This window comes from Homo sapiens, chromosome 5 (assembly GCF_000001405.40).
Source record: "Homo sapiens chromosome 5, GRCh38.p14 Primary Assembly".
NCBI classification, from domain to species: Eukaryota; Metazoa; Chordata; class Mammalia; order Primates; family Hominidae; genus Homo; species Homo sapiens.
In genome coordinates, this window is record NC_000005.10 from 9,080,830 (window position 1) to 9,108,684 (window position 27,855).

A 27,855-nucleotide genomic window follows, 5' to 3' on the forward strand; every position below is an offset into this window, starting at 1 on the left:
AGGAAGCACCCACTCACACACCTATGGTGGGGAGAATTCTAAGAAACCCCGAGATTCCCACCACCTGGGTGTCATGCTCTGCATAATCTTCTCTCTTGGAGTGTTGGTGGGTCCTGTGAAGATGATGGGATAGTCACCCTCTTAATCAGGTTACAATAATCCACAACCTCCTCGTACCTTACTAGAAAGAGATTTTCTTTTGCTGGCTTTGAAGAAGGAAGTTGCCTTGTGGTGAGTGGCCCATATGGCTAGGACTAAGGGCAGCCTAGGAGCAGAGAACGCCACCCTCTAGCCTATAGCCAGCAGGAAATACAAGATCTCAGTCCTAAAACTACAGGCAACTAAATCCTACAAATACCCAGTGAGCTTGAAACACTCAGTGAGAACCCTGAGCCACAGAAAAGACTGTAGCTCTGGCCAACACCTCAATTTCAGCCTGTGAGACATTGAGCTGAGGGCACAGTTTGAATTTTCCCAGACTTTGACTCACTGAATGATCAGATAATAAATACATGTAGTATTAAACAACTGAATTTGTGCTAATTTATTACCTAGCAATAAAACCCTAATATACATTTATGTATGTATGTGTATATACATACATATGTGTGTATATATCTATATATAGACATAGATAGAGATATATACATCCAGTTTCCCACTGGCAAGGAATTTTCCAAATGGAAGACTCATTATCCTCTCGCTATGATATTTCTCCAATGCTTTCTCATGAAAAAGTTTCAGTTAAAAAAGATGACCATTACTTATTATTAATGGTACATAGGCAATTTGAGGTGTTGATGAAAGTCCTGCAAGTTATCTAGGAAGGTGAGGCCAGTGGTTACAATTCATGTTATTTTAAGGTGCCTGATACTGTTCAGAACTCATATTTTTGAATTTAACTCTCCAGAATAGTGATGAACTATGCATGTGTTGACAATTTGTACTTCAACTTTAACAATTCCATTAAAACTCTGAAGTTCAGTCCACTATTTTTGAGGGAAATGTGTTGAGTAAGTATCTTCTGCTTTAAGAGAATTCACAGAACTTAAAGCGGTGTTCTATTCCTTCCAGGGAAGAGTTTTTCCTAAAAGGCGACTCCACAGGGTACTAATGAGTGCTACAGGAAAAGCATCTGTTGTCAGGAAAAACTGAGAAGTCTTGGGTTAAAGAAAGTTAAATGGGTTTCTCCAAATGAGTGATCAGAGCTGCTCTTGGAGCCCTTTTTCTCAAGAGCTTCTTGCAAATGCTGCCAGGGAGAATGCTATCTGGAATCAAACAAGTTCTCAAAAGATGTGAGAATTTCATTGTTGTATGACAGATTCTACAATCGATTTACTGATTTAAAAACTGAAAATAGGGGTGCATCCCTACTGTTTTGAAATTGTATAGAAGTTACCCTTCTTCTGCCCAATGTAAACAGAATTCAAAAGATTGAGGATGGAGTCTTATGTTCATAAAATCCTTAGCCCATTGATTCTGTATTTTAATGGGGAAAATTGTCTAAAATATCCACCTCCTTTAACACTGTTGGTAGGTAACTGAGTTTCCAGTGACTACCTAAGACAGAAAGAGTTGATTCTTCATTAGGGTTGATGTCTTGAAAACAATTTTCTTCTCTGAGTTCACTCAGAAGCGGGCTAATCAGTCTAAACTGTGATGCTCTCTGCTCACTCCCAAGTTCATTGTTCTGTGTTATAAGCAGGAGAGCCCACCAAGGTCTGCCCAGGGGTTCTACTCCCTTCAATCCTTAACCTAGTTCCTCCACTTTCTCATCTATAAAATGGGATAGAAAGAAAGTCATCCACAATGCTAATTTTGAAGTGTTAAGTGAGATAATGTGTTTATAGTGATTAGCATAGAGCCTGTTCTATATGGCATCTTTACACGGAGCCCTGGAAGCAAATATCAGATGCAGACCACAAAAGCATCAGGGATTCTCCAAAATGACCACTGGAGAAATCATCCTTTCTTCCTAGAAAATGCAGATGGTCACAATACCCCATAATTATCCTACTAGGAATATCCACAGCAGGGTGCATTTATCTAACTGGTAAAATAAGTTTCAATTTAACTTGCATCCAAGTTTCTAGGGGTATCATTTTACTCCATTTGTGCTCATCCAAAGGAAAATTATCTTCTAAATATGATTTTATCAGAGTTTACATGAAGCTGTCTTTTTATCAGCTCATATTCTGTAAATAAGTAGTTAAGATTTACTGCTCTAAAAGATAGTAGTAGAAACATTTATTTAATCTAAAGTTCTCACATCATGAATGATGTATTTGGAACATGCACAGCTATGGTCAACGTCCCTGTGACATTTCATTTCATTGTATGCAAATATTTGGAACTCTTGGGTGTTTTCTTGGCTCTCTGTGCTGGGATTTCATCATTTAATGGATCTGGGCTTTGGAAAATATGAATGTGTTATCAGCATCACTTTCCTACAATTTAAATCCCAAGGAACTGCATTTTTTGTTCTTTTATTGGCCAATTTACTATGGGAAATTAATTATGTTCCTCTTAAATTCAGATTTTAAATGACTTTAAAAAATAACTCAGGTTATTTAATTAGATTCTTATTACTGCATGAATATTTCCTGCCAGAACTTATGGATAATGACCTAAGTACCATAATTTAAACACGTACATGTTTGAAACTAAAAGTCAATGTAGTGTTGCCTAAGTGATACTTTCTATTTACAACACAGTTATGATAATCAAAATATCAGGTTTTCCATTCATTCATCCATTCATCCATCCATCCATCCATCCATCCATCCATCCATCCATCCATCCATCTTTCAGTTATCACTGTTGGAACATCTATACCATGTGCAAGAAGCTGAGATTCCTCCTGAGAATTCTCAGACACCAATGGTGAAAATAAACCCATGAAGTTTAAGGAAGACATGTGGAAGTGCCATCAGCCTCACACCAACTACTTATGAAAGGAGTTAAGATGCAAGAGGGACTTAGTGTTACATAACACTAGCACACAGTAATTGTCACTCTGGCCAACCCCATTAACCACCTGATTCAGGACTCTCTGTCTGACAGACTGACTTGTTTCATATACAGGTGCCATTGTCTTCCTTGATCATGGCACTAGAATTGCAACACATACAGCATTTTAGTTACCTTGAGCAATCAATTCTGCCTAAATTATCCATGCCCTAAAAGTGGAATATCATTGCTAACAAAAGGAAAACCTTAGAGAAATCTTAGCCCCTTTAATAAAAGTTGAAAATCTTGATCAAAGAAAATAAAAGACCTACTAGTCAAAAATAGTAAGTTATCAAAATAGTTGGATGCAAATGTTATTTTTTAATAAAGCTTAAAATTTTTGAGCCCTGGTTTTGTAAATACTCAAGATGTGTGCCTCCTGTTCCAGCAGTCATCCAAATTAAAAGACTAGAGTATGATGGTGGCCTTCCCAGAACATGCAGCCCCAACTGAGAGACAAGGTTAATTTGAAAGCCCACAGCATGAGTGGGGCTCCTTGTTCTCCAGTGATGTTTCTGTTGGCTTCCCTCCTGATATGGTTTGGCTGTGTCCCCACCCAAATCTCATCTTGTAGCTCCCATAATTCCCATGTATTGTGGGAGGAACCTGTTGGGAGATAATTGAATCATGAGGGCAGGTTTTTCCCTTGCTGTTCTCATGATAGTGAATAAGTCTCATGAGATAAAATGGTTTTAAAAACAGGAGTTTCCCTGCATGAGCCCTCTTCTCTTGTCTCCTGCCATGTGAGATATGCCTTTCACATTCCACCATAATTGTGAGGCCTCCCCAGCCACGTGGAATTGTAAGTCCAATAAACCTCTTTCTTTTGTAAATTCCCTTGTCTTGGGTATGTCTTTATCAGCAGTGTGAAAACAAACTAATAAAGCAAATTGATACTGTGAGTGGGATACTGCTGAAAAGATACCCCAAAATGTAGAAGTGACTTTGGAACTGGGTAATAGGTAGAGGTTGGAACAGTTTGGAGGGCTCAGAAGACAAAAAAATGTGGGAAAGTTTGGAACTTCCTACAGACTTGTTGAATGGTTTTGCCCAAAATGCTGATAGCGATATGGACAATAAGGTCCAGGCTGAGGTGGTCTCAAATGGAAATGAAGAACTTGTTGGGAACTGGAGCAAAGGTGACTCTCATTATATTTTAGCAAAGAGACTGGTGGCATTTTCCCCCTGCTCTGGAGATCTGTGGGATTTTGAAGTTGAGGGAGATGATTTAGAGTATCTGGCAGGAGAAATTTCTAAGTGGCAAAGCATTCAAGTGGTGACTTGGGTGCTGTTAAAAGCATTCCGTTTTATAAGGGAGGCAGAACATAAAAGTTTGGAAAATTTGCAGCTTGACAATGGGATAGAAAAGAAAATCCCATTTTCTGAGGAGAAATTTAAGCCAACTGCAAAAATTTGCATAAGTAACAAGGAGCCAAATGTTAATCCCCAAGACAATGGGGGAAGTGTCTCCAGGGCAGGTCAGAGGTCTTCACGGCAGCCCCTCTCATTACAGGCCCAGAGGCCTAGGAGGAAAAAGTGGTTACCTGGGCTGGGCCCGGGGTCCCTGTGCTGTGTGCAGCCTAAGGACTCGGTGTCCTGCATCCCAGCCACTCTAGCCATGGCTGAAAGGGGCCAACATAGAGCTCAGTCTGTGGCTGCAGAGGGTGCAAGCCCCAAGCCTTGGAAGCTTCCACAGGGTGTTGAGACTGTGATTGCACAGAAGTCAAGAACTGGGGTTTGGGAACCTCCACCTAGATTTTAGAGGATGTATGGAAACACATGAATGTCCAGGCAGAAGTTTGCTGCAGGGGTGGGGCTCTCATGGAGAACCTCTGTTAGGGCAGTTCAGAAGGGAAATGTGGGGTCAGAGCCCCCTCACAGTGTCCCTACTGGGGCACAACCTAGTGGAACTGTGAGAAGAGGGCCACCATCCTCAGACCCAAGAATGGTAGATCCACTGACAGCTTGCACCATGCACCCGGAAAAGCCGCAGACACTCAATGCCAGCCTATGAAGGCAGCCAGGAGGGAGGCTGTACCCTGCAAAGCCACAGAGTTGGAGCTGCCCAAGACCATGGAAACCCACCTCTTGCATCAGTGTGACCTGGATGTGAGACATGGACTCAAAGGAGATCATTTTGGAGCTTTAAGATTTGACTGCCTTGCTGGATTTTGGATTTGCATAGGGCCTGTTGCCCCTTTGTTTTGGCCAATTTCTCCCATTTGGAATGGCTGTATTTATCAAATGTATCTAGGAAGCAACTAATTTCCTTTCAATTTTACACCCTCATAGGCAGAAGGGACTTGCCTTGTCTCAGATGAGACTTTGGACTGTGGACTTTTGAGTTAATGCTGAAGTGTGTTAAGATTTTGGGGGACTGTTGGGAAGGTATGATTGGTTTTGAAATGTGAGGACATGACATTTGGGAGGGACCAGGGGCAGAGTGATATGGTTTGGCTCTGTGTCCCTACCCAAATCTCATCTTGTAGCTCCCATTATTCCCACGTGTTGTGGGAGGGACCTGGTGTGGGTCTGGGTGGACCCACATGGAGGTGGGTTTTTTTCCTGTGCTGTTCTCATGATAGTGATAAGTCTCACAAGATCTGATGGTTTTAAAAATGGGAGTTTCCCTGCACGAGCTCTCTTCTCTTGTCTGCCGCCATTTGAGATGTGCCTTTCACCTTCCACCATGATTGTGATGCCTCCCTAGCCACATGGAATTGTAAGTCCAATAAACCTCTTTCTTTTGTAAATTGACCAATGTACAAAATTGGGTATGTATTTATCAACAGTGTGAAAACGGACTAATATACCTACCAAAGCCTGGAGCAACATTAGCCAGGAGCTTCCCAATCTGCAAGCAGAATAAATGTGTTTTCTCACAAAAGCAAATATTCTTTCTAAATGAAGTGATGACATCATGACCCAATAATCCGTTTATGAATGCTGTTGATAGATTTATTTCTGAGATTTATGACCATTTCTTTCTGAACTTAATTTATTTCTTGGGGTTATAATTAAATTTATTATTGAGAATACTATTAATGCATTTGATTTTATTTTCTTTTTTGCTACAGCCTAAACACATTTCTTAGGTCTTCTTTGATTGTTTTTTTAACTTAAGTTTTAGACTGTCAGGCAGCAACTCTGCTGCTTTCTCTGTGCCCACTTCTGTGGACTTCTCTCTACTTCCATCTGTGTGACAATCTGAAAGATAGACGACTAAGCTGATAGAGAAAGTATCAAGGGAACAGCCAGATACAGCACGATGTGAGGACATCATCTAAATCCTTGCTACCAGGTATGGGTCAGCAATATCCCTGTTGCTCACCTGCTCCCTAAATCGGACCCCAATCCTGGCTGCCATTACCGACATGGCTGTTTTCACATAACTGAGCACTACATTGCAATTAAAATAGTCAGGATGTTTAAATCAAATGTATAAGTTGAACTTAAACATTTCTAGACTTTAAAATACTTAACATATGGCAATGATATAAAACAGTTCATTTATCTTGAAGTTTCCTATAAAATAAATAATTATCCAAATCAGTGTTTAAAGACTGGGTCTTCATCTGCTTAAATATGATTTGAAAATCATTCTGCTGTGTGTTTCTAAAATATAAAATGGTGATTAAATAATTAAATGGGCAAACTTCTTTTAAATTTGTATTTTTAGCCACAGATGTTTATTTTTATTATATTTATTTATTTTATATTTATATTTATTTTTCCTAATGCATGCTGTACATACATTCTTTAGTTTCTGGCTGTAAAAATCATTCTCCTTATCACTATAAACACACACACACACTTTCATATATTATAATATCATAACTTATAATGGAGGTCACTTATATGCCAGTTCATATATAAGGTTATCTAAACCAACAAATGCAGTTACAAATCTGTTCTAGAAGTTGCCTAATAAGGTGGGATGTTTCTTATTCAAAGCCCTCTTTCAGGCCTATAGAAAATGCTCCAGTTGTTATACACAGAATTCTGTACCATGGATAAATGTTTTTATTTATTTTTCTCTCCTAGGAAACATTGCAAAATTTAAGCAAGTGTATTGACTGCTTTTTGCTTCAATTTCTATTCACTTAGACAAATAATTCAATAAGGTGTTTCATAAAAACACCTGCTCTTTCAAAATATGAAGACAGTGGCCGGGCGTGGTGGCTCACGCCTATAATCCCAGCAAAAGTGCAAAAGTGGCCTCTCAAAGGGGAGGCCAAGGCAGGCAGATCACGAGGTCAAAAGATCAAGACCATTCTGCCCAACATGGTGAAACCCCGTCTGCACTAAAAATGCAAAAATTAGCTGGGCATGGTGGCATGTGCCTGTAGTCCCAGCTTGGGAGGCTGAGGCAGGAGAATCCCTTGAACCCAGGAGGCAGAGGTTGCAGTGAGCTGAGATCATACCACTGCACTCCAGCCTGGCAACAGAGTGAGACTCCATCTCAAAAAAAAAAAAAAAAGAAAAGAAAAGAAAGAAAGTATTTTTTTAATTTCTTAATTTTCCTATAAATATAAGTATATAGAATAAGGGTAAGTGTTATGTTGGGGTGAATATAGAAATCTAAGTTTTCTCTTATACTGTGACAGAAAAAAAAGTTAGTTTTCTTTTAGAATGTTCCTCAATATTAGAGGTTACTCAGCTTTATTACACCCTGAAGTTTTCTAATCATATTCAGATAGTACATTACAAAATGTCGGGAATGAGATGCATGGTTGTTCAAACAAGAATTTACACAGGCAGACAAAAATGACAGCAGCAGCAGGAAGCCTACATTTATAATATATATATATATATATATATACACACACACACTCATGGAATTCCACAAAATTATAATCCAAATAGGAGTGTGGACACTCTCATATAAGAGATTTTGAACAGGTCATGGTGCCAGTTTCAAAGGCACTGGGCTAATTAGTATTAATTGTATTTCTGCAGTTTCTTGTTACCAGCAGAATAAAAGTCAAAGTGCTTAGCTTCTCTGATATTTGGAAAAGTCTCATCCATTGCACTGTGTTAACCCCTCCCACTCCCGTGGCCTGTATACTAGCCACATGGCACAGTCTGATAGCTCACAAATGCTGTGGGTTCAGGCCTCCATGCTTTTGCCAGAGCTGCTGTCATTCACGTAAGATTCTGTTCTCCTAAATTTACCTGAAAACACTACTCCTTCTTTGTGCTACCATTGGATGCAATATCCAGTGACCTGTCTGTGCAGGGGTCTCCCTAACAGACTGTGAGACTTGAGAAGACTGTACTTATCTATTTCTCATTCCTTTATTTTTGGCCAAGCACTGGACACTTGCTATTTATCACACAGCAGGCACTTGGCAAGGATCAAACCTCACAGCACTTCTTCTGTAAGACATGGCGCTAATGCGATCCATGCACCAGAAAACAAGCGGCCATCCCTTGGATAATGTTTCATAACTTTTGTTCAATGGTGTTCAAAATCTTTAAAAATACTGAATAACTCTTTACTCAATAAACAACTTTTAAAAGATAAAAAGAGGTAAAGATCAATCTGCTAGAGTTCAAATGGGTCAGAGGCCAGGAGTGCATCCAGTTGTGAGCCCCCCACCAACTCCCCCCATAAAGGCTCAGCATGGCACCTTTCACCAAAGACTGCAATGGGTGAATATCGCAGTACATTTGATGACCAGTCATTAACCAATAACCTCTGACCTTTGAGATGCAGGCAAGAGGGCTGGAAGGAATCTTTGGGATAAATTATCCCCACTCTTGACCTTACCACCCTTATTTCTTTACCTTGTTGCATTGAATTGGCTGTGATCTCCAGTACAATATGGTATTGAACGCTAGCAGCCCTGGCAGGAATCCTAGGCTTTTTCTTGACTTTAACAGAAAGGCTTCTAACCTTTCATCACTAAGTATGATAATGTTTGTGGTAAGATTTTAATAGGTATCCTTCATAAGGTGAAAGAAGCTCCCATTCACTCTATGAATTATTCACTCACAATTCATATTAGGATGAGTGTTAAACTTATCAAATGTTTATTCTACATCTATTGAAATGATTGTAACATTCTTTCTCTCTTAATCTTGTTAACATAAAATGTATTATTTACAAGATTCTCCACTTGGTCATTATAAATATCATATTGTGAATATGACTATATAAATATAAGTGAAATGTAAATATGTGTGTATACATGTGTAATTTATATTTAAATCCTGATGAATTTACTCTGTACAAGATTGTACAGTCTGTACACTGCACAAAAGGAGCTGTGTGAGAGCGTGGAAATTCAGACAGAATCACCTCTTAAACCCTGAGTCTTGAAATAGGGCTCTCTGTGCCCAGGTGAAGGGACCTTCAGCAGGGTAAACCTGTTCTACTTCACACAAAGGCACTTTCAGGATAGCAATGCCTCTGGATGCCATTTATTTCTAATTCTCAGGCCCAACTCCATTTACCCAGTAACCAAGCACTGGACATATTAGCTTGGGTGAACCTGCTACAAAAGTCCTCGCTTTAAAACGAACTTCCATTTCCATCTGCTGATAGCTCTTTAACTTCTAATGCCTTTGCCTACTCCTAAAGGTGGCCCTGAAAAATGCCGTGAAAGTTTAAGTAAAGAAGAGAAAGATAATACAACTTAAAATGTTGAAAGAACTCTTCTCTGCATGTCTCCTTACAAATATGATGACGGTTGGGGGACTTCTGGTGCAACTGTTTGATCTGTGCAGCTGGCCTCAAACCTGAAACAGACAGTTCTCCACTAATCTGAATGCTGCCAATGTGTTTCACACAATGCCTAAGAAACTACTCATGGAGCAGCTACTTTATGCCAGGCACTGAGAATGTCCTGAGGATGCAATGATGAACCAAAGAGACAGGGCACCTGCAACCGGGGAGTTTGGAATCTCAAGCGATTTTCCAAGAGTCTCCATTCGTCCCTCATACAGAAGGGCACAGGAAAGCCCCGGCATCACCAACTTCCTCTCACTTTGTGTTCACCAGTGACTTTACCCTAAGATAGTTACGAGAGCATGATTTATAATGTAAAGCTGTGCCAAGCAAATATCTGTCCTCCACTGAGATATAAATGAAATGTCTGCAAAGTGCCAGGCTTGTAAAACCTCCTTTGGTAATAGGAGGCCTGTTGTAAGTAGTTATGTAGAAAGCTTATCATTTTTACCTTCAGTGCTTAGGCTGGGAGTTAATTCAGATTCCTCTCAAACCAAGGAAGCACAAGCTGAGAAGCTCACAGTAAACTCACAGTCACCCCTACTCAGAGGCCTCTGCTACACAAACAGCAGTGCTAAAGCAACAAATGGAAGTTTCAAATTCTGTTGTGGGAAAAGGAACCAAGTCTACTTAGAAAAACTTACAATGTCCATTGATTACTTTTCTTTCCCCACAAAACATGAAGTAAAAGATAGAAGCCAACTGTCAGAATTTTAAAAATCAACGATTTGTATCAGAATGAAATGGTGTTTCCCTTGTCCAGATTTATCTTGTTATACTGTAGATGTACCCATGGGGTACATCTGAGAAAAACAGGGCTCTGTAGAGCTGAGGATGACAATCCAGACAAGGATAGAGCAGTGTAGGTCCTGAGAAGTTTGTGTAAGATATGTGCACCCGAGGAGAAGCCTGCCAAATCTCTTCAGGAAGGCACACACATGGAAGTACATCTCCTTACAAGCACTAGATTTGTGGTTTACAAAATTCAGCATAAATCACAATGGGTCGGAATTATTTCTATTTCAAGTTTAAGACACAGGCTAAAAGACCCATTTGTTTTCATGAGATTTGCAGTTCAAAACACAACAACCCTACTGAAGACCCACAGGCCAACCTGTATTCTGTCACATAAACCATGAGGGCTCCTCAGTGGACATAATGCGGCACCCTCAGGACCATAAGCAAGCCACTACCACAATTCTAGGAAAACAACAGAGCCTCAGCCAATTCCAATGACAACCCCTCTTATTGAAACAAACATCTTGGCATCACCATTTGTATGACAGTCCTGTTGAGCACTGACCTCCTGAAGTCTCAGTAACCACCCAAGAAAACCCAAATGATGGCATGAGACTTTTTCAGAGAAGCCTGGCTCATGTACAAGGAGCTTAAAGTTATGAGCTTGAATCCTTCCATTCTTTGAACACCTGTGGCTTGCTTTCAACTATGATACTTTCTATCAGGCATCTGTATTATTCGGTCTTGGGATCTTTCTGATTCCAGAGTGAGAGCTCCTTAAGGTCAAGCTCAGCAAGTCAACCAGATTCATATTCCACCCAGCTGCATCCTGAGCGATGCCTCATACTCATGGTTGTTCCAGGCTTATTGTGAGACAACTAAGCTGCACTAGATGACTAGACTGGGGTTGATGTGCATGAGGTGCAGCATGGGAAATAAGACTGTATTTGTCGAATGCACAGGGTGATGGCCCCAAAAGGGCTCAAGGCCATTATGTTTACAATTTTATTTACAGGAGGAAGCTCAAATATTGGAATTCGCACCATTTTAAAGTATGAGATTCAGATTTCTTTTCTAATGAGGCTCTCTATAATAGTTGCATGTGCTCAATCAATTCTTGCCTGTGGGGACCTGATAAGGTCCTGGAAGATCCCTGCCAAGTATTACCTAATATCAAAACCAATTTTAATGACTGTACACTATTACTGCAGGAACACGGAGTTTCAGTGCTAACATTTTACCATTTGGAGCAGCCCTGCAAAGCTAATTAGAAAGAATTTGAAATAATTTAAGAATATGAACAGGAAATGAGATGTTCATAAGCAAATATCATGGAAAGAAAAGTTAAATGTGGACTAAGAGTAGCTCCATTTTAGTGTGAAGAATCTCTTTGAATGAGAACACAAAATGTGTTGCATTGTAAGAGATAGTAAGAATGAACCCAAGAGTAGATAAGAACAATATAATACACAAGAATAATCACTTCATTTGGAAAGGTGGTGACACTCTTTTCCCAAATTGCCATTACCTTTTTAAAAAATCACACATACATTAAATAACTAGGTTCATTTATTCACTACCCTACACTCTGCAAGGTGTTGAGAAAACAATAGTGAAAAAAATATTGTCCCTGATTGTAAAATCATAAAATGTCATTTTTTAGTATTAGTAAGCTTTGAAACAAATTAGTTCATCTAATAGTGTAGTGGAAATTTCTTCTCTGAAATTGAACTAAATCCAAGTTTATATAACTTATTTTGAAGAAACATTAAACTTAAAATTGAGTTTTTTAAGATTAGGAGTACTTACTAAGGTAAATAAATTGTGATAAGGAAGGAAGTTGTAACTAAAGTTGAAGAATGATTGTGGGAAAGGAGAATATGGCTACATACATATATCTGAAACCATAACATTATGTATGTATATACAATCAGATAGCTTCCCTCTTTTAGATAGTAAGATCAACATGCTTTCTTCCCTGTAAGAAAAAATAATTTAAAACATGATGTAACATATTTTTTGAATTATTAACAGAGTTCTACTGTGTAAATTTTAACCCAAGAAAGTTGGTACAGGTCTAATTATGCAACTGTGACAGCAAGCTAAAAGAACTGAATGGCCGGGCGTGGTAGCTCATGCCTATAATCCCAGCACTTTGGGAGGCTGAGGCAGGTGGCTCACGAGGTCAGGAGTTCAAGACCAGCCTGACGAATATGGTGAAACCCCGTCTCTACTAAAAATATAAAAGTTAGCTGGGCCTGGTGGCGCACGCCTGTAGTCCCATCTACTCGGGAGGCTGAGGCAGGAGAATCGGTTGAGCTCGTGAGGCGGAGCTTGCAGTGAACTGAGATTCAGCCTGGGTGACAGAGTGAGACTCTGTCTCAAAAAAAAACAAAAAAACAAAACAAAAAAAAACCGAATGACTGTGCACCCCCATGCCTGGTACTCAAGCCCTTTCAGGAATGATGACTACTCACTTTCCAGATCTGTCCCTTGCCGCATCCCTGTACACATCCTGTAGCCCACAAGTGACTGTGCTTCCAGTGTTAGGTGTGAATCCCATGTCCTTGGGTTCACAGCCTGCACACAGAGACTTTCAGGGAAGCTCCTCCTCTTAACTTGGCCGAGTCCTGCCCACACCTGTTGGTGCCCTTGACCCTCCACACCTGTTGGTGCCCTTGACCCTCACTTCCTCCTCCTCATGTTCCACTCAGTGTTCTCTCATAATTGCTCTGATGGCATTTATTACTTCGTTATTATTTAGCAATTTGAATTATGTTTTTTTCTCCTAAGCCAGAAAGGAGGCTCCTTGAGAAAGTTTACTGTATCCATCTACATGGGTTCCCTTGCACCAATTCTTTACACACAGTATGTAGTCAACATGTTTTCATTGACTAAATACATAGATGAAAGATCTGAAAATTCTGCAAAGTATAGTACCACAGACATGAATCAGTCATTGAAGTCATTGAGAATTTTCTTTTCTTCCACATGCAAAATTATTTCAAATGAACAGTATCATGTGAGATCACACCAAGCATTAGAGAAATTAATGATCAAAGATGATGCATGTAACAGGCAGAGTTTCTTTCTTCCTCTTCAGTTTCAGACGTCAAGGCCTTATTACTGAAAGCTATTAGCAGTTGCAAGAAGATAAGAGAAATAAACCAATTAAATGAGCTTCATAATGAAAACTGCCCAGCAAATGTCAGAGGCTCCTCTAAATGTCTGGATTCCATCTGTCTGCCTCTGCCATTTTGTATCTCTCTCTTTTGAGTTTGAGAGGCTTATTGTTCCAGAGCTTCTGACTTTATGTGCGGAGCCCGAATAATTTTATAAGACAGATTTCACAGTCCTTCTTTCAGTCACTGTCATTTTTCTCACACAATGACATTAGAGGTCCTTCGAGGATTGCTTTCTAATAATCTCAAATAGGGCAATTTCGTGGGATTAGGATAGACTGAAACAGATGTGGAAAACACTTTACATCATGATAGAAGCAAGATGCCAAATAATAGTGTGTGGGATGTTACTTTCTCATGCAGCACGGCTTATAAAATACTGTAGGAATGTGACATGGAATGTGAAGAGTGTTCTTTGCAACTCTTCCTTCCACAGTAGAACCTCACGAGATTCTGCAAGTCAAATAGATCTTGAAAAAAAAATATGCCATGGAGGGAAATGAAGGGACAAGTGTTCAGAAATGACAGTTACTGTGGCACACTATCAGGCCACAGAGAAAACCAGCTATTTATTTACTTATATTGACATATTTTGAAGGCTTCTAAATATAACCTTGTATTCCTCTTTAGAAATATTAACAAACTAACACAAAAACAGAAAACCAAACACTACATGTTCTCACTCATAAGTGAGAGTTGAACAGTGAGAACACATGGACATGGGGAGGGGAACATCACACACTGAGGCCTGTCGGTGGGGGTCTGGGGCTGGGAAGGGATAGCATTAGGAGGAACACCTAATGTAGATGATGGGTTGATGGGTGCAGCAAACCACCATGGCACGTGTATACCTATGTAACAAACCTGCACATTCAGCACATGTACCCCAGAACTTAAAGTATCATAAAAAAATTAAAAATAAAAATATAGTAGCCGCTGTTGTGCCCTTTCTCACATTCACGTAGAAGAGATCTGAACTAGGCTCCAGTTCTTAAAAACTTTTAGGATTACTAAAGGGATAGTGTTTGGGAAGAAAGAAACAATGGAATCTATAAAAAATAGTCAATGTTTTGAAATAATTTTTCACACTCCAACACCTGTTGTTTCTTCTTTAATTACAAGTTGCCTCAAAAATTATTATGTGTGCAAGTTGTTTTAACAACTGAAATGACACATGCTCAGTAATACCATTGGAGGCACTCCGATGAAATAATTTAAAAATGGAAACTGCAAATCTTAAGCAAAACACAAATTAAAACATATTGTTGATATAATTAAGCATTTCTGTCACTTCTACCAAAGGAAGCATGGTTTGCCATGAGGCAAACCAAACGAGTATAATGCAATCAAAACATATTTTGAAAGTCTCTGGCTGCATTTGTATAAACATGTGAACTGTTCCTATAGCATGCCTCATTCTTGTTCATTGAACATTGGTATTAAGATTATATTGCGTATTGCAAATAATGCTACAGTGAACATGGGAAAGCAGGTGCTTTACGAGGTAGTGATTTAATTTCCTTTGGGTATATGCCCAGAAGACGGCTAGTAGGGTCCTATGGTAATTCTATTTTTAATTTTCTAAGGAATCTCCACACTGTTTTCCATACTGGCTGTACCGGCCTACATCTCCACCAACAGAGTACAATCTACATTCTTTACACCCTCACCAGCACTTGTTATCTCCTGTCTTTTTTATAGTACCTGTCCTAACAGGTGTACTCATGTAGCAAATTTCTGAATACAACACACCATCATTAACTATAGTCCTAATGTTATACGTTAGGTCTTTCAAGGTGTTCATTCTACATATTTGCTACTTTGTGTTATTTGACCTATATCTCCTCATTCCCCCTGCACTCTCCTGCCAACCTAACAACCACTGTTTTATTTTCTCTCTCCATATATGAGACCTTTTGTTTTTTATATTTCACATCTAAGTGAGATAATGCACTATTTCTCTTTCTTTGTTTGGTTTATTTTATTTAGCATAATGTGTGCCACATCCATCCATGCTGTGACAAATCACAGGATCTCATTTTTAAGGCTGTATAATATTCCACTGTGTGTGTGTGTGTGTGTGTGTGTGTGTGTGTGTGTGTGTCCCACAGCTTCTTTATCCATTCATCTATTGATGGACACTTAAGCTGTTTCCAAATGAAATGGCAACCTACATGTTGGGAAAAATATTTGCAAAGTATACATCAGATAAGGGATTAATATCCAAGGTATATAAAGAACTCATACAACATGATAAAAAAAATATATATGACCCAATTAAGAAATGTCAAGGGACTTGAAAAGAAATTTCTCCAAAGACATAAAAATAGCCAAAAGGTACATGAAAAGCTGCTCAACATCACTGGTCATCAGGAAAACACAAATCAAAACCACTATGAGATGTCACCTTACGCCTGTTAGGACAGGTACTCTCTATGATGAAAAAACAGTAGACTTTTCATCATAGAGAGGAAAAACGAGTAACTATGAGAGAAGGTGGATATATTAATTTGTTCCACTATAGTAATCATATGACTATATGTACCTTTTACCATCATGCTGTATATCTTAAATATACACGATAAAATTTACTTTAAAAAGAGGGGGGAAAAAGCATACTGTGAACAGTAGCATCAACACACCAAAACAATGTAAATAAAAGACAGGTACCCAGAGCATTTTGATTTAAGCCTCACAAGTAGTAATACTGCCCCAGGTTTAAGTAGAGACCACACTTCCCTTATTTACACTGGTATCCCCAGAGTCCATCACAGGGTAGAAGCTTATTCTTTATTAAATAAATGGTGGAATAAAAATGGGTAAAAAACCAAAATGCTCAGATTCTAGGTACAGAGTGTGAGCTCAGGTAAACCTCTCTTAATACTATGATGTATGCAGGGATTTGAACCTGAACAAACCAAATGAAGACCACGCCATAAGCAGCATAGTCAATTAAGGAGATGACAATATCTTTTGAGCAGATGTATGTCTCTGAAGCTTTTTGTTCAATTCTCTACTTACTTCATTTTAGAAAGGTATTGGAAATGAGTCTGCTGAGAGGCAATATGCTGGCCTCTGCAATATGGAACCTACAATGGGTAATGTCTCAGGTGATCTCCACCTTTTCTGTACATTGAATGAGCAGAGCTAATATCAATTAGACCCACAGGTTTCAGATTGGGATCCTGGGGTGGGGAGAGTGTTACTCTCACTCAGTCATGGCCCAAGTGCCATATGGCATGGAATGTCTCCTGGAACCATGGCCCAGCCTGTACAACAAGGTGATGGACTGAAATAGGACTTTAAAAGGTAGAATGAGCTATACAAAGATGCAAATGAATACAAGAGCCCAGCCTTGATGCTACAAGTTGCACAACACAAAAAGGGAGTACTTGGCTGTTGGTAAGAGGGACAACATCAGTACATCACTTAAGTTGGCTGGATAGCCAAATCTCTTTTTAAAAAATAAGGGCTGAGTGTGGTGGCTCATGGCTATAATCCCAGCACTTTGGGAGGCTGAAACAGGTGGGTCACTTGAGGTCGGGAGTTTAAGACCAGCCTGGCCAACATGGTGAAACCCCGTCTCTACTAAAAACATAAAAATTAGCTGACTGTGGTATCAAGTGCCTGTAATCCAGTTACTCGGGAGGCTGAGGCAGAAGAATCACTTGAACATGGGAGGCAGAGGTTGCAGTGAACTGAGATCATGCCACTGCACTCCAGGCAACAGAGTGAGACTCTGTCTCAATAAATAAATAAATAAATAAATAAATAAATAAATAAATAAAATGAACAAGCAACACTACTCCAGGAGACTACTGTCTTTTAATTTCAGTAGCAAGTGCTCGGTAGAATCAGAAGTAGACAAGGTGAGCTACAGAAATTGACCAAAAACATGTGTCCAATTTGAAGGGAACATTTAATTGACTAAAAAGCCCAGTGAGTGTTCTTTATGGATAATCAATTGATTAGCTCAAATCCGTCAGCAGCACTACAATCAATGACGGAAGATGCATTTGGAAAAGAATATTGTCTGATTGTTTTTAAATAAACTTCTATTAAGACTTTAAATCTAGAGAGTCACTCTTAATTACTCATTTTTAACAGTTAAAAAATCTGACATTTAAAAAACCAGAGACATGGGTTCCATCTGACTGAGCATTTGCTATGCCTTTAACAGAATCTGTTTGTTCTGCATGTACTGCCTACTCGTGTAGGCCTATAAAATATTTTTTAAATTGTGGCCATTTAGTAGAAATTATTACAATTGAAATACTATTATTGTGTCTCCACATATAAGTTCTAGGTATTTTAATATCAAGTATTGAATAATCTTTATCATGGAATTTATTGGAAAGTTATAAAGGAAAAATGTGTGTGTGTGTACAATTTAAGTCACTTTTACAGTAGGAAATCTCTTCATGAAAACTTCTTTCAATTAACTTTGCAATCACTGTATTTGAATTATTGTAGGCATAAAAAATTTTTAAAAACTATAGAAATGTACAACAGAGTCTTCCAACATTATAAATAAAACATTTTTGTGAAATATTCCAGATCTCCATACCAATTGCAATTTCCAGAGATTGTAGATGATTATTTATATGTCCTAGAGGCAGACTCTTGATGGATTAATTCCTATAATCCATCATTTTTCTTTTCTCTCCATCTGTGCCATACATCATTCTTAAGCTTGATTGCGAAACTTTCAGTGCCAAATTTTAGAAAACTTATACTTTTGTGGCCATCTGCTGTACCACTCAATTTTGTGTACTGATATTAACTTTCTCAAAAAGCTTAAGCATCCTTTAACAACATGTGGCATTTTCACTTTGACAATCTTTCATATTTGCAAGCTCTTCACTGAGATATTTTATTAAAAAAAAGAAAACAAACTTTGCATTCCAGTGTTTGTGAAGATATAATATCCAGTTTCAGCAAGGGAGATCAATTATTCCCTTTACGGAAGAATATTGGGAAATATAAGTGAATGGATTTTACAACCACAATGCAATGGAAGAGTTCAGGTTGCAACCTTCTTCATAAAGGTCAAGGTCATGTCTTTAGCTTTCATGGAAATGGGTCACTTGAAAATCCTAGATCATCTCCATCAGATACAGCAATTATTAAGGAGGGACATGTCTTTCCCCATCAGCTACTGAACGGTATTTGAAGGGTAGCTTCCACAAAGGGGAGGGGAAATACAAAGCAGTTAGAATGATTTTGACTCAGACTAGCTGAAGCCACCAGAGCTTTTGATTTCACACATCAGGCTGTGCCCAACAAGGTGGATTTTGGGGAGATGAGCCCCTTGGTGTCCTTAGCTCTGTCTCCCTGCTTTGCTCCTGTCCTCCTCCTCCCTGACCTAGCTACTCTCAAGGCTGCCAGCTAGTGGGCAGCAGCTCCAGCTTCACTCTCGACACTCTGTGTGCAGAGAAAGAAAGGGCCTTCCTGTCCTGTATCTCTCTCTATGGAGAAGAGAGAACCTTTCCAGAAAAATGACTTTTCTTTCATGTGTCCCAGGCAAGAATTGGTCCACACAATGGAGAAGCCGTGTGCTAAATAAATATGCCTGGCAGAAAGTGGAGTGCCATCTGGCCTAATAATGGGTATCCATGGCTATGCGATGACTGGGAAGTTCTCACCAGTCCATGGGACCTGTAAGGCAGGAGGGCTCCAGATTGTGTTTAACCCCAATTATTGGACTGCAGCCTCAGAAATCCTGTTCTTATTGGTCCATTCTACTATGGTCAGGATTTGTTTTCACAAAGCCAGGTGTAGATGTGCTTTTGGGGCCGCACAGCCCCTCAGCCTCCTGTGGTCCCAGCTGCGGGCAAAATGGTGGTCAGTTCTTTGCCAGACACATCCACCTGGGGCACACACTTCCCTTCCTGTGGCTTTCCATGTTGGGAGTCTTCTCTGAAGCCCCAGGAGACTGCTGGGTTAGTGAAAGTGCAGCCTGGGTGCATCCTCAACCAATGGTAGCTGGGAAGGTGACACACTCCCGAGAGGCATTTACAGGCTTCTCAGAAAATCAGTTCTGCTGCCCTTAGCAGTGACCTTGGTGACAAACCCTAATAGGAGCTTTTCCCTCTTTCCTGCCTCACCCTGTCATCCTCTCCACCTGCTGCTGTCGACATATAAAAAACCACCTGCCCTAAACCCCTGTCTTGTCTCAAAATCTACTTTAAACAGGGGCCAAGCTATGATGCCAGAATTTTCACTCTCAGCTCCTATTCCCATGATGAAGAAAATAGTCCAAAATAATGGTTGGGATCCTACATGTCTCGGAGGCTTTGAAGAACACACTGAGTTTTTATGCACTCAGTTCAGGGCTAGGGTGGCAGCCAGGATGTGCTGCCCTTTTTCAGAAGTGCTACTCACATCTCCATAATGTTTAATACTCCCTTTGGAATTCTGCAGTGCACAACCTGCACAACTGTATGCATTGCCTTTGGAGGAGAAAGTGAAAAAAAAGGAGAAAGATGGGCATCACTTCTCAGATGCATCTAGATATCTGGGGCTTTCCCAAGGTTTCTTGCATTCTTCTGGACCCTCAGTTACATGCACAGTCTGAAGCCACCAGGGATTATCTCAATAAGTGCTTAACTGTTTTCGGTTTTTAGTTAGAACCATTCACTTTATCGAATCTCATATAGGTCATATTTAGCTAGATACAACAAACTTCTATAAGCTCATTGGTGTTTAAGTTAATCTTATGAAAACTACAGTCCTTAACCTTTTCAATTACTTATCAAATATTAGATGAGGCCACACAGTGTAGTGGGGGAAACAAGCAGGCCACCATTATAAATGTCTGGCTTTGAGGCTGGCAACCTTCCTACAACCTGGACCATCTCGCTTCTTTGCTCCAATTTCTACATCTATAAGTTGGTTACACTAACAACAATACTACTTCATTGGATTATTGGGAGGAATTCCTCACTCATTCCCTAAGAAGCACTTTAAACAATACCTGGCATGTAGCAATTATAATGACAGATGATGATGATGGTGATGAAGAATATTATTTTTATCTATAAAAATTCTGTATGTTTTCAGTGGAGTTAGAGTCAACTATTTTATGTATTTCTTAAACTTTATTTTAGAAAATTTCCTTTCTAGGATTATAAAATGGTATTTTCATGAGCAATGGATAAACTTAGTTGTATCTAATCCAGGTCCACCGGCTTGTTAAAGTAAGAACAGCTTCCAGACACATCAATAAGTAAGCCATACAAATAGCCTACTATTCATATAGGGTCTGCATTAGTACCCTATTCAATAGTAGCCTATATGAATAGCTTACTATTCATATAGGGTCTGCATCTGTGAGGTTTCAAGGGTATTATTAAGGGCAGCAAATAAACTTGGAAATGGGTCTACGTCCAATGTAAAATAACAACCCTTTAACAAACACAAATAATTCAGTGTGAGCTGCCAATGTTCAAGTATCCACAGCTTAGCATATATTGGGGTGACATTGCCCAAACATAACCAAATAAACAAAAATAAGTGAATAAGAAGAAAACTTTTCATATATCTCTTCATAACAACCCACCTGCCATCTAAGGCAGGACTATGAATCTCTAGAAAGCCACGGTTCAAAAATGAGGAAACACCAAATATGAATACAAAGGGAACTAACGATTACAAACAAGCAAGCAGCCAATTTTAAAACAGACTGTTCAATTGTAAAACTGTCAATCTCTCTCAGGCTACCTCTCCTCTATATTTTATGATGAAAGGAAGTGCCAGCTGTCCCATTTGAATAAAAGTACACACCATTGCAAGGAGGTTGCTATGCTCTTGAAAATATTTTAGTACTAAAAATTAAATGGGGAACTAGAGATACTTTTTTGAAGTCTAGGAAGACAGGAAATGAGTATTTCTAAAACCCACAGGAATACATTGTCCATGGAACACGAAGATGCTGCTCACCTGATACCAGCCAAATAGGAAACTTACAGATAAAATTGTCCCAGAAATCAAAATTCTATTAGAGTCTTATAAGGATATAGAGTCTTACAAGAGCATTCACAAGGATGCTCAGAAAATGTTTTATGAAATGTATCCTGAAAAATATAGTATTTATATCATTAAATTATTTATACTTACTAAAACAGCATTGTCAGAAGTTGAAATTAAAACATTTCTTGAAATAAAACTACAAAAATCATCTACAGTATGCTTTAAATATCACCAAATTAAGAACAATACAATTATTAAAATTTATACGAAAATATTTACAATAAGCAGTGGTTTGTAGAAAAATCCTGAACATGGATTCAGAACTCTAATTCTGAATCAGAGCAGTAATATTAGGCAGATGAGGCTATATGCAGCTCCTACTTTTTAAAACTTGAGTAAAATGTGAGCCTCAAATAGTTTTTGTTGTATTAGTGAGGTTGTTTAAAATTGGGCTTACACATACATCACTGGCCAGAGGCAAACACAGCTGAGACTGTTGAGAAATACGACTGGAGCTAAACAAATACAAAATATACCTGTTTGGGGCTTTTGAATGGTCTACTTTCATGGGTATGAGATATTAGATCTTTCCCATTAATCTCACTGTTCTTGTTCGTATACTTGCTGAGGGAGACACAGCACCCTGGATTGTCTCAGGACCTCTGAGTGGAAAGACCTGGACCGGGGGTCTTGCTGTCTCCAGTTGCAGGGTTTTTGGGTACCTAACTGGTTTTCTACAGGTCTCGATTTTCTCATTTGGAAAATCAGGAAAACACGAGACGACCTTCCCCAAAGCATTCTGCAGACCCTAATGTGCTACACAAAAATGTGATATTTTGTAATGCCTGTCATTATTTTCATGTGTCACAACCTATTTAAACTTCCAATGGCCACGTTTCATTTGCTCTGAAGATTATCCATTGTGCCATTATTTGACACAAACAAATGTTAGTGTGTTATATCAACTCTGACTGACCCTCGCAGAATCCCTTTTGACAGCATGTATTGATTATAATGTCTTTCTTCTTGACCTTTCCAGGCTTTCTGTGGTCTGGTTCTTTTGTATCTAGGAAATAAATATCTCCCCTGTGCTCCCTGTTGCTCTCTTAAATCATAGCTTGTGGTCAATTGTTTCACGCTTTACATGATATTTCAGTAAGAAATATAGTGCTGCCAAATACTAAGTCTGCTGTTCTTTGTAAATTATTTTTGCTGTATCTGACGCTGTCTTTGGCTCTGATACAGCAAAAAATAAGGTAAATCTGCTAAACCTTTGAGGAAATTTTGAGTTGCATTAATTTAAGAAGTAATTCTATGTATACAACATAACATTTTATATCTTTCTTCCTTTCATGTGTTGTAATTTTCAGCCAAAATGTAGAGTTAAGATTTGTGTTACGAGTTTATCTTCGATTAATTCCTATGCTCATGATGATCTCCTAATAGTACTCTTATGGTTGGCTGAAATGATCACAATATTATAAAAATCAAGAGTGTAAATCAAGAGAAGAGCTATAGAAAGACAAAAAGCTCCTCCTTCTTTTAAGCTACACTTCAACCTAAATAGGAGTAAAGTAAGGCTTATCATTTATCACTTAACATTGGGCAAATAAATTATACAAATGGAGTTGTGTCATTAAATTCTATTTGTGCCCAGAGGACCAGTTCTCAAATGCTGGTCCAGTCCCCCACTGGCAACTTGCTACTGGGCAAGTTCATTAATCTTTCTCAGGCTGATTTTTTTTCCATCTCCAAGCAGAGGTAATAATGAAAACTGCCTTGCAGGGATACAGAGAGAATAAACATAATAAATTTTAATTACTCTTAGTGCAGTGCATGGCATGTAGTAGGCACTCAACAAAAGTTATTTTATGATGTAATACAGGATTTCAGGCAATCATTAAATATTAACTCCAGTATGTGTAGTTATAACTTAATTTCAATATTTAATTTGACATCACCTAGTAAGTTGGGATTTGCAAGTCTTCATCCAACAACAATTGTTACAGTTACTATTGTCAAAATAGGGTTAAAAGGAAACACACATATGACAGTGACAATCATTTCTATTTTATAAATGTCTATGTTAGACTTGGCACTGGGCTAGGATATATAGAAATATTAGGTACTATATGTAATCCTCTAAACAGCTCTGTCATTCAAGTGTTCATGCTTCATATTTCATTTGAAAACAACCATGTGGAGAAGTAGAACAGCAGGTCAAATCTCACAGTGACTCAGAGGCAGAGCCCCTCTGACCCACCACCCTGCTCCTTCCACCCGCTCTGTGAAGCCACAGGCATGCAGGGCTGACATGCAGACCTGGAGAGCAGCACCAAGGACCAGAGGACCCCAGATGCTCCTGTGGGTTTAGCCTACTTGGAAGTGGGGAGTAAACATCTGTGTTTTAAGTGTCTCATTCTGAGCTCACTGGAGCTATGAGCCACCAGGGAGGGACATTTGCTAGAAGTGGTCCCTCAATCAGCTGGACACATGTGCCCCAGGGTCCAGAGAAGGAATGCCAGGGTCACAGAATCATCAATTTCAGGGTCTGGCCCTGCACTTTGCAGAGCAAGACAGAAGCCCAGAGGGCAGTGAATGCATCTCAAGTTCACAGAGTTAAGTGACAGCACAAGATCCAGGTCCTCCCTCTGTGTCTGTCAATCAGCTCCCCGAACTAATCCAAGGCTCTGGGTTTCCCAAGCTTTTGACATTGAGCAATTTACGAGTAGGGATTCATGGAGAGAACTAATAGCTCTTGGCAAGGGTCCTTCACTGCCTCTTTATTGAGATTCAAATAAAGGCTTGGTGACTTAGTCTAAGACAAGGATGTAGAAATTTCACAAGTGAAGCTGGGAAAATCCTTTCATGAAATTTCAGCTTTAAAGTGTTGGCAGAAGCAGAGATTCTTGAGTCTTTTCTAACCGATGCATACTTGAACTTGAAATAATCAATTCTTTCTTTTTCATAAACTGCTATAATAATCAGGAAATTGAGGTTTTTATACTTTCCACAAACATATTCTGTATTATATAAATGACATTTCATTAGCTGACTCCCATTTTTAATAAGCTGGAACTCAGAGAAGCAGCTGAAGCCCATGGATAACAATTAAAGAAATGAGACTAGGAAGGAGCACTCAAACGTGAGACCTGCCAGACCTTACGGATGGCACCCTCCTTGATACAGGAGCTCTCAGTAGGAAAAACCATCACCGCCTTCTCCAAGGATGACACTGAGACTCAGAAATGTCACCTCTTGTTATCCAGCCACACACACTGGTCACTTCATGTCTCAAAAATCAATACTTTTTTTATACTTACAGCTACTATCTTGATAATAGAACTCAATAAAAACCGAACCCTTTGTGGACAAAGATTTACGAACTGCAGCTAGAATATGAAGACCAAAAATGTTGCTTTAGCTAGGTAACTATCATTTTTAAATCAACTTCTTAGGAATTCAACTGATAGTATAGATCTTCCAAACAATCCAAAGAAACCGAGCCCTTCCTTTCTACTGTTTGCATTCCTCAATTAGTGTGAGCTGGCATTCCTGCCTTAGGACAGACAGAAACCAAAATGCATGGGAGAAGACACGTCAGAAGAAAAATATACTCCTACCACTGAGAAGTGGATTGCTCCTCATTGCCGCAATAACACCTTCCTAGAAGTAGACTACCAAAAGGCTAAGTTTGGTGGTACAAACAAAAAGAAAAACAAACCTTTAAATTTCCCAAAAAGTGACAATAGTCTCTTTGGAGACATATGTGTTATTCTGGATTTGAAAGCAGTGGTTACATTTGTTTCATAAACTGTAATTCTATAATAAATAAAGCAATAAATACATTGATATTTTAGAAAGACCTTCAATTTTTACATTTATCATCAGATGGATGTCACACATACACACATAGGAACTACATAAAAATGCTACATTATTGCTTAATATAATTTTTTTATTCATTAAGCTATATTTGAAGGTAATTATAAAAGTCAATGAACAATGAGAAAATTAATGATGTGGACTGTTCTCTGAATTTTTCACACTGCAATGTATTTAGAAACTAGGGTGTGAGATCAACCCAGATCATCCATTCCTGTGGTTTCCCAGCAAATGAGACAAACCTTGACATGGCAATGCAGACCTCAGGGGGCACACATCATGCCACCAGGAACAAAACATGACATTCTTCAGCAAAATACAAAGTTATCCCATTTGAATGGTTTTCCTAGAACATGTGAGTGTTCATAAATTTGTCATTTTAAAATTATTTAAAATAAATAGTTTTAAATGTCAGCATCTGAAATATCAATAAATATACATCGTAATGAAGATTTTTCATGGTCTACAGTTAGTTCAGGCTGATCTGGAAAGAAGTGTCTTTATAATCAGTACTAGACTATATGAGAGCTACGACAGTATCTTTTCCATTGTGAAGGGGAAGAAATCTAATTGTAATTTCCAATAACAGAAATCTCCTTGGGTCTGGTGTAATATCTGACAAAGAACCTCATATCCCTCTTCCTTTCTGAGAATTTCCCAAGGATATCTCGGCTGTGTGGTTTTTGCATGTCACAAAAGCAGGCTTTACAGCAGCACAAAAGCATTGCTCAGCCTCACAAACCAAAGGATAAAGATGCTGCAAAGGCCAACTGGAAAGATCAGTGAGGAAGCAATTTAGCCAGACCTTCTCGTGCTGAGCTTCTCCATCAAACCTTTGCCACTGTCTGTGTCCACTCTGTGCAGCCAGCACCAGAGGCAGGTGAGTAAGGGGAAATGCTGTTACTCTTACAGAAGAAGCAGGAACAGCAAAAGCAAGTCTTTTGAAAAGAGCTTGTCCAAGAGGAATTTTATTTGACAGTTTAAAGTGTTAAAAGAAATATAACCTGTAAAGGCAGGAGAAAAAAAAAAACATGCATTCTCTTTTATCCTCTCTGCATTGGCACCAGCTTACTCTAACAATGGCTCCATATAGTTTCTCAGTCCCCAGGGTGTGTCCGGTTCATCCCACAATGTTCTATACCTTGGTGTAGGCCTGATATGGGGATATTATTCCGTGTCCCAAACCGAATAGAGTAGCCATATATAAGCAGGCTGAAGGCTTTGTGACTCAGAAATCAGAACAGAAAAACTCCTGGGACAGTTTATCCCATATGTGAATACTTAATTCACGAAGCCTCCAGGATACTCTGAATTTCAAGTATTTTCTCCAGATATTCTAATTAAATTGAAAAACTTGCATGATTTGCAGCATCTAGTGTGTGTAGAGAATCGAGTACTTGACCATGTTGTGTTTACAGAGCACTCAGTGGTTGCAGAACATCTAGTGTCTGCCAAGAATCTCATGTTTGCAGAAGATCCAGTGTGTGAGAGGACCTGGTACCTCCAGAGCATCTATTGTATGGGGAACATCCAGTGTCTGGACATGTCATATTTATAGAGCATTTAGTATCTGGAGAGCATAAGGTGTTTGCAGAGCTTCTAGAATGTACAGAGCACCTAGTGTGTGAGACCATTTAGTGTTTGCAGTGTACCAAATTTGTGCAGAGCCTCTAGTGTGTGCAGAACATTTATTGTTTGCAGAACATCTAGTGTGTGCAGAGAATTTTGTGTGTATTGAGTCTGTATTCCTGGTTCTGGATTGTGGGCTGGGTGTGAGAAGAAGGCTACTCACCACATTGCAGCCTGCACAGTCAGGCCCATTCTCACAGATCCTGCGGCGAGCTTGAATGCCACCCCCGCATTGGGCTGTGCACCGTTCCCAAGGACCCCAGCCTGTCCAGAACATGTGTGGGGGACATAGCAAATGTTCATTGCAGTATCTGTAATGAGGAAACCAAAATGACAAGGAAACTAATTAGTGCCACTTGAAACCACTGACGTTTCCATCTCCATCCCTGCACCAGATGTTGAACACATGGGCATGCTCTGCGTGGAGGAGCTTTTTGTATTTTGAGCAGTTGCACCATACAGAAGGCAGATGTGGTGCTGGCCATGCTGTGTGTGCACAGACAATGGGATGCATGGCAGACAATGAAGAAAATGCTAAACTCACAATGCAGGATGGATCTTCCTGTGCAGCCAATTAAAGGAAAAACAAACAAAACCCTTCAAACAGACACCCAAAAATAAGAGTATACAGAAAATATCTAGGTAGGGCATTTATCTTGTGAACATAAACATTGAAAGATAAAGCAGATTACAGATACAAAGTCAGCA

The 27,855-nt window shown here is 39.2% G+C and overlaps 1 protein-coding gene across 11 annotated transcripts in view; it reads right to left on the reverse strand.

Annotated features, from left to right (window-relative positions):
- SEMA5A (semaphorin 5A) overlaps nt 1–27,855 on the reverse strand; it is a 511,043-nt gene that overhangs the window by 45,797 nt on the left and 437,391 nt on the right. For all 11 annotated transcript variants that reach the window (XM_011514158.3, NM_003966.3, XM_011514157.3 and 8 more), the window contains one exon: nt 27,311–27,458. In XM_011514158.3, the coding sequence (XP_011512460.1) occupies nt 27,311–27,458 (148 nt within the window). The remainder of the gene's footprint in view (nt 1–27,310; nt 27,459–27,855) is intronic.